At 38.3% G+C, this 14,607-nt stretch overlaps 1 protein-coding gene across 3 annotated transcripts in view, besides 1 other annotated feature; it reads left to right on the top strand.

Moving 5' to 3' along the window:
* MAML2 (mastermind like transcriptional coactivator 2) overlaps window positions 1-11,323 on the top strand; it is a 366,598-nt gene extending 355,275 nt beyond the window's left edge. For all 3 annotated transcript variants that reach the window (NM_032427.4, XM_011543023.4, XM_047427710.1), the window contains exons 4-5: window positions 2,279-2,390; window positions 7,958-11,323. In NM_032427.4, the coding sequence (NP_115803.1) occupies window positions 2,279-2,390; window positions 7,958-8,973 (1,128 nt within the window). In that variant the 3' untranslated portion in view covers window positions 8,974-11,323. The remainder of the gene's footprint in view (window positions 1-2,278; window positions 2,391-7,957) is intronic.
* Window positions 1,973-3,172: an enhancer, noted in NCBI's record as "MED14-independent group 3 enhancer chr11:95717913-95719112 (GRCh37/hg19 assembly coordinates)". NCBI's record gives its function as "activates an origin of replication core promoter dependent on BRD2, BRD4, P300/CBP and CDK7 cofactors, and independent of MED14, by STARR-seq in HCT116 cells {active_cell/tissue: HCT116}" and the evidence as "EXISTENCE:reporter gene assay evidence [ECO:0000049][PMID:35650434]".
* Window positions 11,324-14,607: the final 3,284 nt, after the last annotated feature.

Here is a 14,607-nt window from a genome sequence, read left to right as displayed (position 1 = left end):
AACATTTAGGGTTTGGGCAAAACCAAAGAGCATTTCACCAACCACTTTTTCCCTTAATTTGTAAACCCATGTTTAAAAGAAATGTAATCCATATGTTTCTGATTCATTTACACTTAGCTCATCAAAATTGTGTTTTATATGAATTACTTATGTGCAAAAAACTGTGTCTTTCAAGCCTTTTTCTTAGCAACAAGAATTTAAATTTGGTTTGTTGTTGTTTTAAGGCTTTTTCCTCTCCTTTATAGTAGACTTATTCTACTAAGAAGGTTTGGAATGTGATGGGAAACTGAGAAACACATGGTTTAAGTCAGTTCTAAGTTAGGCAGTGCACATTTGTTTTCCAGCTAATTTACCCATGTATCTATTACAAAGTTTTCTTTTCTATTTGTTGACTTTTCTATAATTATAGTGTTCTCCGTCTACCTATGCTGATTATTTTTATTTTGAAAATTGAGATTGCTTTGGGATGCATACAAAATTGCAGTGAAGTCATTCTAAAAACTCCCTGATCCATACCAAACAAGATAAAAAGCAGCCCTTAATTCCCAAAGCTGATATGATACTCACAGCCAAGCTGTTTTGTTCTCTGTTGGGTATAAACAATCCTACAGAATGTCAACCTCAGACAGGGTTACTCTGAGACCATGATAAAATGAGACAAAATAACACTTCATAATTTTGTCTAAAAACAGACACAAACAAGGTCACTGTGCAACCTCCAAAACACCAAACACCCCCCTCTGTTGTTAAATGAGTGATAGCTACTTCTTTATTCAGTTAGAATTGACTTTACTTTGTGACAGCTTCCAATCTAGAACAAAGCCCCATTTCCTTAGACTCTTCCGAAATCACTCAAAGTCCAAATCTCAGGACAGATTCTTTCTAACATTCTCCTACTGAGACACCCTGTGACCCCTCATGATGTGTGTTCTCCCTTGCTGCAACAAGTAATAAAGCCAACAGCTGTGTTCCTAGTGGTCTTTGACTGAGGATATTGACATATTAAAAGAATGTCTCTTTTTTTTTCTCTTAGCTTCCAAAGTCACCTATTCTAAAGATCAAAAGGCTGATTCCAAAAGGAAGAAATGAAGGGAGGACAGCAAACCTGTGCTTTTAGAATGGGGAGCTGAGAAACAGAGTAGCAAGGGGCCTCGTATTGTGTGTCAGGAAAGAGCCTGAGTTTTGGACTCAGGATTTGGTCTCAGTTCTACCACTGTGTGACCTTGAGCAAGTTACTTAGCCTAACAAGGCTTTAATTTCCTTATTTTTTAGGTGGAAATAATCATACCTACCTTTAAGAATTGTTTATGCGAAGGTAAAAAAGAGATAAAATTCATATAGTGCCTATATCGGTACCTGTTGGTTATCTCCTGACATCTCCTCCTACCTAGGGTCATCAGATTTAACAAATAAGAATACAGAGCTGGGCGCGGTTGTTCATGCCTGTAATCCCAGCACTCTGGGAGGCTGAGCTGGGTGGATCATGAGGTCAGGAGTTCGAGACCAGCCTGGCCAATATGGTAAAAGCCCATCTCTATTAAAAAAAAATACAAAAATTTGCTGGGCGTGATGGCGGGCACCTGTAATCCCAGGGGCTCAGGAGGAGGAGAATCACTTGAACCAGGGAGGCAGAGGTTGCAGTAAGCCGAGATCACACCACTGCACTCCACTCTGGGTGACAGAGCAAGACTCCATCTCAAACAAACAAACAAACAAACAAAAACAAATAAGAATACAGAATACCTACATGTTCTGTATTTTATCTGAAAACCCTACCTCCTATGCTTTCCCCACTGTGTGGGACCAGAATTCTACGTAGGTACCTGCCAAAGCATATCAGATGTGCTATTCTCATTGAATAAAGAAGTAGCTATCACTCATTTAACAAGAGAGGGGGGTGTTTGGTGTTTTGGAGGTTGCACAGTGACCTTGTTTGTGTCTGTTTTTAGACAAAATTAGAAATTAGCATCTTGAAAAATCACAGAAATTTAGTTCTCATTGAAATTGAATTGCAAAATAAAGAAAATAGGAGTAGTTACTAGAACCAAAACACATGTTGACTGTTATGGAAAAGTAGAAATTATACTTCCATACAGGAAGTTTATTGAAATTGAAAAGATTTGTCTCTGAATTAAGACTACAAAATAAGGTCATGATTTGTAACCCATGATTGCAAAATTGTTCTTATATTTTCTGAAATTTTACAAAATTTTACATGTATTTTCACAAGTGAAAAGGGAATGATGCAACATAATATGCTTTCATATCATTTCTCAAGGAGAAAATTGCTCCACAAGATCAGATAAACCGACATTTGTCAAGGCCACCTCCAGATTATAAAGACCAAAGAAGAAATGTGGGCAATATGCAACCAACTGCTCAGTATTCTGGTAAGTGTTCTTAAAAATTAATAAAAATTATAGCTGTGAAAGGAAAAAAAAACTTCAATTTTCAATAATCCCTGTAACTCACATATGATTATAATATCTTTCTTAGAATTTCTAACTCCCATTTGACTTTCATGCCAAGACTACAGTTAAATATTTTTTAGTCCTTTCATCAGTTTTTGCTTAGTCATGCCCTGTACTCACATATTTCACCACTCTCTGGACTACCTCTGAGAATTCAAAAGAGCTAAATATTTTTCTGTTAGGTTCAATCATTCTCCTTCCAAAGATATACCTTAACCCAGGTAGTAGAAGGTAAGCAGACATTTCTCCCTCTTAGACAGGCACATGTGTAACTTTCACAAATCCTAGTCTTTTTGTATCCACCATTGAGCCCATCTCCAAGGTTTCCCCTTCAAAGACAAATGGTCCTGCCACCAAGGAATACTTGAAAAGCAGATTTAGTTTTCACGAAGTCTCTCAAAAACACCAAAGGTGAACTCCATTTAAATCACAAAGCAAATCTTCTTAATAGCTCTCTCAGTATAAAATAAATGGTAAGTACAAAAGTCCCCCAAATTCTCTCTCCTCCCGCTCATGAAACTCCAAAAGAACCTTTCCCAAACCCAGCCTATATTGCTCTGCCTTCTCCTATTCAGCAACTATTCAATACGCTTCTGCCCAAAACTGTCTAAAATGCTCTGCACTTTTTGATGTAAGTTAAGTTTACGCTCTTGGGTTTCCTAAGTTCTCTCTGCCTTACCTGTTACCTTCATCTGTCCAGGAAGCCATAAAGAAGATTCTCTAAAGAAAGAAAGGCTGTGAACACCCCTATTTTATAAATACTTCCTGGTACTGTTAAGTGTACTTTTAAATATGTTGTCCTGACTTATTTAAACCCCCTCAAATACAACAGGTTGCCTCTTTCAACTAAAATTGAGAATGGAGCTGGGCTCAGTCGCACGTGCCTGTAGTCCCAGCTATTCTGGAGGCAGAGGTGGGAGGATTGCTTGAGCCCAAAAGTTCGAGGCCAGCCTGGGCAACATATTGAGACACTGTCTCTAAAGACAACAAGTAACATTAGGAATGGGATGTATGTTTTCCACTCTCTAAGATTACTTCGCCTCAGAGCAAAAACAGGATTCTCTAGTTGATTGTCTCAAGGAGGCTGAAAGATAAGATGCAGTTTCCAGCCATGTGTTGGTTAATGTTGGGGGTATGTTCTGAGAATTGCGTTGTTAGGTAATTTCATTGTGCAAACATCATAAAGTGTACTTATACAAACCTAGATGATCTAGCCCACTACACACCTAGGCTATATGATATAGCTGATTGCTTCTAGGCTACAAACCTATACAGCATGTTAGTGTGATGACTACTGTAGGCAGTTATAACACAATGGTAAGTTTGTGTGTATCTAAACATAGAAAAGGTACAGTAAAATATAATTAAAAAGATACAAAATGGTACATTTGTATAGGGCCCTTACCGTGAATGGAGCTTGCAGGACTGGAAGTTGCACTGGGTGTCAGTGAGTGAGTGGCGTGTGAATGCAAAGGCCTAGGACATCACTGTACACTACTGTGGACCTTATAAACACTGTACACTTAGGCTGCACTAAACTTATTTTTAAAAATTTCTTTCTTTAATAATAAATTAACTTTTACATTAATTTTTTTGCTTTGCTTTACAACTTTTAAATTGTTTAAACTTTTGACTTTTGTGATAACACAGCTTAAAATACAATCACATTGTACAGCTGTACAAAAATATTTCTTCTCTATATCCTTATTCTAGAAGCTTTTTTTCTATTTTCTTACAATTTTTAAATTATTTTTAATTGACATATAATTGTTCATATATATGGGGTACAGTAGGATATTTTGATGTATGTAAACAGTGTGTAATGACCAGATCAGTGTTGTTAGCATAACCATCACATCAAACATTTATCATTTCTTTGTGTTGGGAACGTTCAAAATCCTCTTCTTGGTATTTGAAAACATAGTATAAATTATCCTTAACTATAGTCATCCTAGAGTGCTACAAAACACCAGGACTTATTCCTCCTATCTAGCTGTAATTTTGTATCCATTAACCATCTTCTGTCTAGCTTTTTCTCCCCACATCCTCCCCACCTCTAGAAACCGCAATTCTATTCTCTACTTCTATGAGAGCAACTTAGCTTACACATATGGATGAGAACGTATGGTTCTGTGCCTGGCTTATTTCACTTAAAATTTTTTAAAAATTTTTTGTTTTTATTTTTTAAACTAAGACACAAACACACACAAACACACATTAGCCTAGGCCTGCACAGGGTCAGGATCATCAATATCACTGTCATCCACCACATCTTGACCCACTGGAAGGTGTTCAGGAACAATAACACACATGGAGCTGTCACCTCCTATGATAACAATGCCTTCTTCTGGAATATCTCCTGAAAGACCTGCCTGAGGCTGTTTTACAGTTAACTTTTTGTATAAGTAGAAGGAGTACACTCCAAAATAATTATTGAAAGCATAGTAAAAACATTTACTATGCTTTTTATATATGATAAAGGAAGATAAAAAATGTTACATATGTGTAGGGCACTCACCATGAATGGAGCTTACAGGACTGAAAGTCACACTGGGTGTCAGTGAGTGGTGAGCGAATGCATTTAATAATTATTTTAGAGTGTCCTCTAAAATACAGCCATAGGAATTTTTCAGCTCCACTATAATCTTATGGGACCACTGTCATACATGCAGTCCTTCATTGACCAAACATTGTTATGCAGTGCATACTGTACTTAAAACATGGTTTTTTAATACCATGGCCTATGAGCGAGCTTTGAAAAAGCTGGGCGCCCTTTGGAATACTATACACAATTCAAGGTGGATATTGAGGTTTTTCTTTTCCTACTCACATAAAAGGATCCCAGGCACAGTAGTCTAGGGCTGGCTTGCTGGATTTCAAGCATCTTTTATCTTTCCACTCCATCTCTTTCAGCATGTGGCTTCTATCCTAAGGGCTGCCTGGTAGCTACCACATCACTAGTCTCATACCTGTATTCCAGGTAGGAAGAGGAAAGAAAAGAAATCTGATTCCCTTAGCCAGAACATATTCACCTGGACCCTCCCGCCCACCCCATCGACAAGGAAGTTTGGGGAATGTGGTTTTTCAGCTGAGCACATTGCTCTGTTTCTAAAGAAGGCTCTGTTTCTAAAACCAAAGCTCTGTTTCGAAGGAATATAGAGAGGTTGGATATTGGGTAGGCACCTAGCAGTCTCTTCCACAGTGAATATTGGTGTTTTTCTAAGGGAGAAATCCTTAGCATCCAACTGCTGACACTCAAGTGGGTCAGAATCATTATTCTAGAGCATTGCGTTTCCCATGTCTTCTGATGATGAAATAAGCAACAAAACGCAATACAAACTCTTTTTAAAATCATTTTTTATTTTAATCTTGGTACAATAATGATTACCTTTCCCAGATTTTGATATTAAAAATGGAGTATGAAAAGCACCTGGAACAGTCTCTGTCACCTGTTAGGAGCTTTTAAACATTAACTGTTACTATTTTGTGATCTTTGTGGAAATTCTCTCTATTCTGGTTGTTTAAAAAGATTGTTTTCCTTATAAACCTTCTCAGGCCATATCATTAAAATACAGGGCGACTACAGGTGATAATTTTTAAAACCTCTACATTTTTTTCCACAGCATTTTCATAATATAAATTCCCTTGATATGAAACTTTCAGATACAAAGATGATATTGCTGAATCTTACTGGCATTGTATGTCATCTCAGTTATTGTTCAAGTGTCTCCTACCTGGCTGTTATGTCTCTTCATCAAACACTGCCCACTACACAATGCACTACACAGATACAAGGAGATACAAGAGACTGTTCTTGCCTTCAAGGGGTATGTAGTCTAGTTGGGGGCATATTTATAAATAAATAGCAAAGCTACTGTGTTCATTTGGCCCTCAGTTTTTCAGGATGTATACCACCTACGTATCCTTAAGCAGCAGGGGATAGCCCACGTTTACAATTGCAGACATGCTCTCCCCATCCACTGACATTGTGATATTCTTATGTGTATTTAGCTCTGTATTTCTCAGAATCTCTGACTCTCTGGGCCTCCCTGATCATCTTTGCCTCCAAAAATATTTCCTCGTGATGACTTTAACCTCCAGAAGTCAAGAAGATTTCAATATGTTGATTAGTCACTATCTGTTGTGTGGAGCCTCTTATTACACAGCCTGTGGCTTAGGCACTTGTTCCATATTGTTGCAGAACTTTCTCCTTAGTTCAGCTAAAACCAGGCTCTCGTCACATGGCAAGGAAAGATTAGGTTCGTGGACACATGGAAGGATGAGGAAAAATGGAATTTATTCGGCAAAAAGGAAAAATAACTCTCAGCAAAGTGAGAGAGAGTCCTGCTAGCAGGTTTCCCACCTCACAGATTGAATTCCAGGTCACCACACAGGAACAGGAGAGGCCAGGCTCCTCACTGCTGCAAATGGCACGAACTTCCCAAGGCTCCACCCTGTCTTCCCAGTGCACAGGTGGGCATTATTCAGAAAGAGTCAGTCGGAAGCGGTCTTCATCCAGGACCAGCAGTCCAGTTTTTCAGCCTTCAGGCTGTGTTAGGTTTGAAGGCGTGGGGGAGACCCTTGTCTGCCTCCTGGGTCTCTGTCAATATCCTATCAGTTATTGACAGGCATCAGTTTAACTGGCAGGCACTTTGAGACTCCACAGATTGCCCAATACTAAGTGTTAAATGAAAGATTCGAAGGGCAAATACTGCTGGAGAGAGGAGGCTGGAAGATAAAAGAAAGTTTAATGGAGGAGCTTCGGCCTTAGCCTGAACCTTGAGGAAAATATAGGGCTCAGTGAGGAAGGGAAATCCCATAAGCAAAGGTGGCTCACAGTGCATTGAGTAACAATTTGATAGTAACTACACCTCCTGGAACTGAAGAATTTCTTTATGAGATAATTTCTAGAGCACTGAATTCCAGATGTTTAAAGAGATGGAGATTTACCCTTTGAACACTGGGGAGTCACTGGGGTAGCTTCTTGAATGGGGATGATTCAAAGAATGGGACATGATTTTCAAGGCCATAGTTTGGGAATATTAATCTAGGAGCCGTGTGTAGCATTCATCCACACTTTCTCATTTGGACCTGGGGTAAACAGTAACATGGATTTCATGAGAGCTGACTAATCAAGACTGTAGTCTCTGGACTTGGAACATAGTAAAGCTAATTCAAAATGGAAGATTGACTATTACCTCCCTTCAATGACTTCAGAAGAGGAATAAAATAAAACCTACAAGATAGAACTATTCTATTTTAGTCTTCTTTTTGTAATATGTAAACTTCTGAACCAAAAAGTGACCTCAGGTGCTCCTTCCTCCTAAGAGCTGTCTTGTTCCTTTTATATAATTTATTTGATCATTATTTCGCCTAAATTGTCTTACACCTGAAAGCAGTTTCAGATTGATGAGTTATTGAAAAGTGCAGTTACAGAGGAGATAACATGCTGCTACGAACTAATAAAATTCTCTTCTTTTTCTCAGGTGGCTCATCCACAATAAGCTTAAACTCTAACCAGGCTTTGGCAAACCCAGTTTCAACACACACCATTTTAACTCCCAATTCCAGCCTCCTGTCTACTTCTCACGGGACAAGAATGCCATCATTATCTACAGCAGTTCAGAATATGGGGATGTATGGAAATCTGCCTTGTAATCAACCTAACACATACAGTGTCACTTCAGGAATGAATCAATTGACCCAACAGAGAAACCCAAAGCAATTGTTAGCAAATCAAAACAACCCTATGATGCCACGGCCACCTACCTTAGGGCCAAGTAATAATAACAATGTAGCCACTTTTGGAGCTGGATCTGTTGGTAATTCACAACAATTGAGACCAAATTTAACCCATAGTATGGCAAGCATGCCACCACAGAGAACATCAAACGTAATGATCACATCCAACACAACTGCACCAAACTGGGCCTCTCAAGAAGGAACAAGCAAACAGCAAGAAGCCCTGACGTCTGCAGGAGTCCGCTTCCCCACAGGTACACCTGCAGCCTATACCCCAAATCAGTCACTGCAACAGGCAGTAGGTAGCCAGCAATTTTCCCAGAGGGCAGTGGCTCCTCCTAACCAGTTAACACCAGCAGTGCAAATGAGACCCATGAACCAAATGAGCCAAACACTAAATGGGCAAACCATGGGTCCCCTCAGGGGTCTGAATCTCAGACCCAATCAGCTAAGCACACAGATTTTGCCTAATTTGAATCAGTCAGGAACAGGGTTGAATCAGTCGAGGACGGGCATCAACCAGCCACCATCCCTGACGCCCAGCAATTTTCCTTCACCCAACCAAAGTTCCAGGGCTTTTCAAGGAACTGACCACAGCAGTGACTTAGCTTTTGACTTCCTCAGCCAACAAAATGATAACATGGGCCCTGCCCTAAACAGTGATGCTGATTTCATTGATTCTTTATTGAAGACAGAGCCTGGTAATGATGACTGGATGAAAGACATCAATCTTGATGAAATCTTGGGGAACAATTCCTAAAGAAGAAAGGGAAGACAATTTACAAACTCCAAGCACTAAAAGGCAGTATATTACAGAAACTCTGTAGAGGCTGAACTGTTGATGTTCAGGTGGACTACATGAAGATAACATGCTTAAAAATGGAAAGCAGAAAGTAACTGCAGTGATGAACATTTTGGTCCAAATTCTTGTTTTAAATCTTACACCTGAAAGTAAAATATTGGGATCACTTTTCCCTGTCTAAACTCCAGGATACAGTATCCAATTTATCCAAACAGAACTGTGGTGTCAATGTGTAATTAATTGTGTAAAATAGCCTTCCCAAGTTTCTTTTTCCCTGGAAAATAAAAAAGGTAATAGAACTTGTAGTTTATTTAAACCCCATGTCATGAGGAGGTACTAGTTCCAAGCAACAAACTCCTTAATTTGCTCTAATAGATAGGTATGGTTTAATCTTTCCATTGTGTCTTTTCATTTAATTTTCCTGAAGCTTGCAGGATAGATTGAAATGTTATAGGTTTGTTTGGAGTAACCAAACAGTATGCAAATTAAGAAAAAGCCAGAGAACCTAGAAAACATCCAGTGGATTACAGAATTTCTTCCCCATATTCACTCCTCACTTTTACAATTTTCCCACAATCCTCTACTTCAGTGGGATGCTGTGTCTAGTGATTAAACAAAAATATAGAGCTGTGCAATTTGATTTTGGCTTCCACAACGAATATCTGAATCCATTCCAAATGAAATTTTAGATATAACAAAGACTTGTCCTAATCATACTGAAATATTGGTGCACACCTCTCTGCATTAGATTTCACTTTTTTAAAAAACCCAGTGGACATTGCTATAAATAAGATTTATTTGGCTACAAATAACCTGGGATGTTGCTTATTATGATTGATGCCTGCTGGTTTGTTCCCAAGCTGAGTGAAATTGAACCTCGTCCTCCCTACTCATTTTGATGACTGAGGCTGGTTTATAAGAAAAGGAAGTTTGGAGAAGAAAACCGAGATTAGAAAATATCATGTTTTGGTTGGAGATAAGAACCAGGGATGGCAAGTACCAGTGTGTACAAATGTATTTCACGGAGTTTGAAGGAACGCATAATCAAGAGGGAAAACAATTTGTCCTTCATTGGACGTATTATTTGGATTTGGGTGAGCAACAAAATGGAATGTGGTCTGTTAGGAGCATTCTGTTTGTTCTTTTGTCCCTGATGTGATGAATCATTGCCACATGCTAGATGGACTCTTCATATCCAGGTTTTGTCCCTCAGGGCTGAGCACTGTATTAAAGAGTTTTTGTTGAGTCATTTAACCTTAGTGTCCACATCCAGATCAGCTGTAAAATGGGGAAGACGTGTGCTGATTTGGAATGAATGCAAAATATCACTATCATTTTCCTAATTACAGAGGAGCAAAGGTTATCTTCAGCCCTTTCAGTTCTATGCTCACATATTCAAATATCAAATGTAATTTAGCTGAAGTTATTTAATAATCAAGTCTTTCAATATCTGTTCAAAGAAAAAGAACACACTTTGAAAATTCTGCAAAGCTGTCTCCCAGTCTTTAAAATGTCTGGAAGCACTCTCCTTCTTTACAATACCAACATCACTGGCCCAGAATCTTCCCTGTGCTAGTTTGTAAATATAAATAAATTACTTGTTTTGTAAACTTTTGTAAAGAATATTTTGGTAGAAATACTTCAAACATATTCTTTGGGTTATATTTATACATATGTGAAATAAATATACTATCAAAAGGTTATATTTTATACAAAAAGTAAATTGCTACCTTTTGTATGCTAATATGCAAAGTTTTGTATAATATGATGGTTTATTTTTAGCTCTACACTTAAACCATAGGTGGTTGAGTGGGAACTTTTGAAAACTATCAAGAGGCTTGTTAGACAAATTTATATTCTGAAACCTCAATAAGAAAGCATTCCAGGTTTCAATCCTTGTTTTTTGTCCTGCTCCCAAATTCTTTTTTAAACCCATAGTTCTTGTGTCTTATTTGATTCTTCTGCTGTGCACATTGTATTGGTCCTTGTTGCATGTAGTCTACTGTGTGTTTTCCGATTTTATAAGGCAGCATTTCTCCATACAAAAAGAAAAAAAATGATGTACATATAAACGCTTTTGTTGTATGGCTCCTCCATGTTACTGTATATATCTGCCAGCACTTCCCAGTTACACTCCTGTGAGTCAGCTTATTTTTACCCTAACATAAATAGTATGTTTTGTAGTAGTTATCAAATTTAAGAGATAAAGCAATCAGAATGTTTGGATTTTCTTCTATCTTAATGTGAATTTCATAATTAATGTCTATTTATTCAGCTATTCATTAAAATACAGGATTCTTTGGGAAAACATGATGTGTAGTCTGTAGTTTGTTTGTTAGCAGCCTATTACCAAAGGTGACATAATTTTCCTGAAAGCAGAGATAATGACAATTTGATAGACATATTTAGCTAAAACCTTAAGATTTACAACTTAAGAGCTATTGGAATACAATCTGCCATTTTTAGAAATACCAGACCACTTAATTGTTGGCATTGTTTATCATCCTGACATAGAGAGGAGGTAGAAGCAATTTTTCTTTTTTGTTTTAAGTCAAAGACTAGAAAGCAGTTTAAGCAAGTAATTCGGTCTTGGCTTTGTATTAAGCCCTATGAAGATAAATAACTCTGCTCTAAGTGAATGCGCTAATGTTACCTGCATTACTGTAAACGTACCATAACGGTAAAGATTTCAACTTGTAAAACAAGTATGTTGTATTGCGTATAATTTCATGTGTAAAAAACTGTTTAAAAAAATTCAGAAGTAGGCCAGGCGTGATGGCTCACGCCTGTAATCCCAGCATTTTGGGAGGCCAAGGCGGGTGGATAACGAGGTCAAGAGATCGAGACCATCCTGATCAACATGGTGAAACCTCATCTCTACTAAAAATACAAAGAATTAGCCAGGTGTGGTGGTGGGAGCCTGTAGTCCCAGCTCCTCGAGAGGCTGAGGCAGGAAAATCACTTGAACCCGGGAGGCGGAGGTTGCAGTGAGCCCAGATTGCGCCACTGCACTCCAGCCTGGCAACAGAGCGAGACTCCATCTCAAAAAAAAAAAAAAAAAAATTCAGAAATCGTTATCCTGTATGAAATCATACTTTCAGTTATCAACAATATTGTTGCTTCATTATACAAAGTTCTGAAAACTATTCATAATAATGGGTACTTAAAGGCAAGTTTAGTCTCTCGGAAGCTTCTGAACGAGTGAAATGTTGACTTGTCACAGTGTTCTTTAGTTGACTTAAAAAGTTTGTATTAACATTCTATATGCATGGCATCTACTAAATACTAGGGAAATACAACCTAATTCGCAGGCACTGTGGGCATTTGCCTGGCCTGCTGTGTGGCATTTGGTCAGACCGGCTAGTGAACACAGGCTAGGTAAACACAGCCCGACTGGACATATTTACACAGCCCTTCTTGAGAGTCAAGGAGGTTGAGAGTAAGATGGGTCTTTAGAGGAGGCAAGAAGAACCATTCCAAATTCTCCTGCACTGCTGTCTAAATATGTTGTTAAGCTCTCATTATCCCTTTCCCCTCTACTAAAAAAGTATGTGACATTGTCTTTGTTATTAGCATTATTAATAAACCAATAATGAAATTATAATGAAATTGAAAATTTTTTTTTTGAGATGGAGTCTAGCTCTGTCGCCCAGTCTGGAGTGCAGTGGCGTGATCTCTGCTCACTGCAAGCTCCATCTCCCAGTTTCATGCCATTCTCCTGCCTCAGCCTCCCAAGTAGCTGGGACCACAGGCACCCGCCACCACACCCGGCTAATTTTTTGTATTCTTAGTAGAGATGGGGTTTCACCGTGTTAGCCAGGATGGTCTCGATCTCCTGACCTCATGATCTACCCCCCTTGGCCTCCCAAAGTGTTGGGATTACAGGCATGAGCCATTGCACCCAGCCTGAAATTCACATTTTTATATAGTCCCTATTCTAATGAGCCTGGAAGGTCAGATAGGAAATAAAATCCACATTTTAAAAAAATAAATAATGTATATACAGATTAAGAGAAAAATGTGTAATTACAAAATTATCTATGAACCCCATTGTGTAGCCATGGAAGTAGAACTGAGAGTGGAAAAGTAAGTACGAAAGAGAGAAAAGCTCAGCTCCTTCCCAACCTTTAGTTGCCAAAGGCTGTTCAAATTGTTAACCATTTTATCCACAATTTCTCTTTTACATTTCTGTGACTGTTTTTGCACCCCAAAAAAAAGGGTTTGGGGCTGAAATAACACTATTCCCTTTCAACTCTAAAACCCTGTGTTAGATTTTCTTCCAAAACTAAGTAGAAAATTAGCCAAAAAAAGACTCATTAGCATCCTTTCTAAAATAAAGAAATTTTATTTTAGGAGAAAATCAGTACTTTGAGTAATATACTCCATTGGGTATATATTAATGAACTTCTGTGATTTGTAAATGGCAGTGTAACAGCTTCTAATATCCTTAAGTTCCTGTTCTCGTGCTGCTATAAAGATACTACCTGAGACTGGGTAATTTATAAAGAAAAGAGGCTTAATTGACTCACAGTGCTGTATGGCTGGGAGGCCTCAGGAAACTTACGATCATGGTGGAAGGCAAATGGGGAAGCAGATACGTCTTATGTGATGGCAGGAGAGAAAATGCACAGTGGAAATTGCCATTTTTAAACCATCAGATCTCATGTGAACTCCTGCACTATCACAAGAACAGCATGGCGGAACCACCCCATGATCCAATCACCTCCCACCAGGTCCCTCTCAACACATGGAGATTACTATTTGAGATGAGATTTGGGTAGGGACACAGAGCCAAATATCATAGATGAAGTACCAGGAGTGTCCTAGGATCAGCTTCATTGGCAGCAATAAAATAACTAAAACCTTGTACCATGAGAATTAAGAAAACATATTGACCTTAGATTTTTAAAATCAAAATGCTGTTGCTTAGGTTTTTAAAACCAAAATGCTGATCTGCATGCAATAATATAAATAGAGAGCTTCTGTTTGTTTACATAAATAGCATCTTAAATTCCCTTTTATCAAATGTAAGTCATCTTCAGCTCTAGGATGTGCAAGAATATACAAATGCTTTCTACAATACTTAGGATTCTTTCAGCAAAAGGGAAGGAGGAAGGGTAGGAAAGAGAAAATAATATATACAATACTGCATACATATATAGAAACTTCTTTTGGGGTTCTTTCAGCAAAAAGAGGATAGAAGGATGGGAGAAAGGATGGAAAGAAAACATGTCTCCAACAGGCTTAGAAAAAAGAATGTACTGCTTAACATAACTAAAACTTCTGGGAGATATTTAGTTTAGGTATGGCTGTATACAGCAGCTCAACAATGTCAAGAATTGGTTCCTTTATGTCTCTCGCCTTTGCTTCCCTGTGTCTTGTCTCCATCCTTGGGCATGCCCTTCTCTTATATTGGCAAAGTGGTTGACAACCTCCAGATTTAACATCCTCATAAGTCCATGTTCAGCATAAACAGAGTGAATGTTTTCCTTTCAAAAGACCTAACTGTGTGTCTCATAGACTTTAATTAGGGTGTGTGCCCATCCCTGAACAATCACTTTGGCCAAGGAGGTACAGTGTACTGATTGGCCA

The sequence above is a fragment of the Homo sapiens genome, chromosome 11 (genome assembly GCF_000001405.40).
Source record: "Homo sapiens chromosome 11, GRCh38.p14 Primary Assembly".
NCBI lineage: Eukaryota > Metazoa > Chordata > Mammalia > Primates > Hominidae > Homo > Homo sapiens.
The sequence above is the reverse complement of the archived record's forward strand: the minus strand, read 5'-3'. Positions and strand labels throughout refer to the sequence as shown.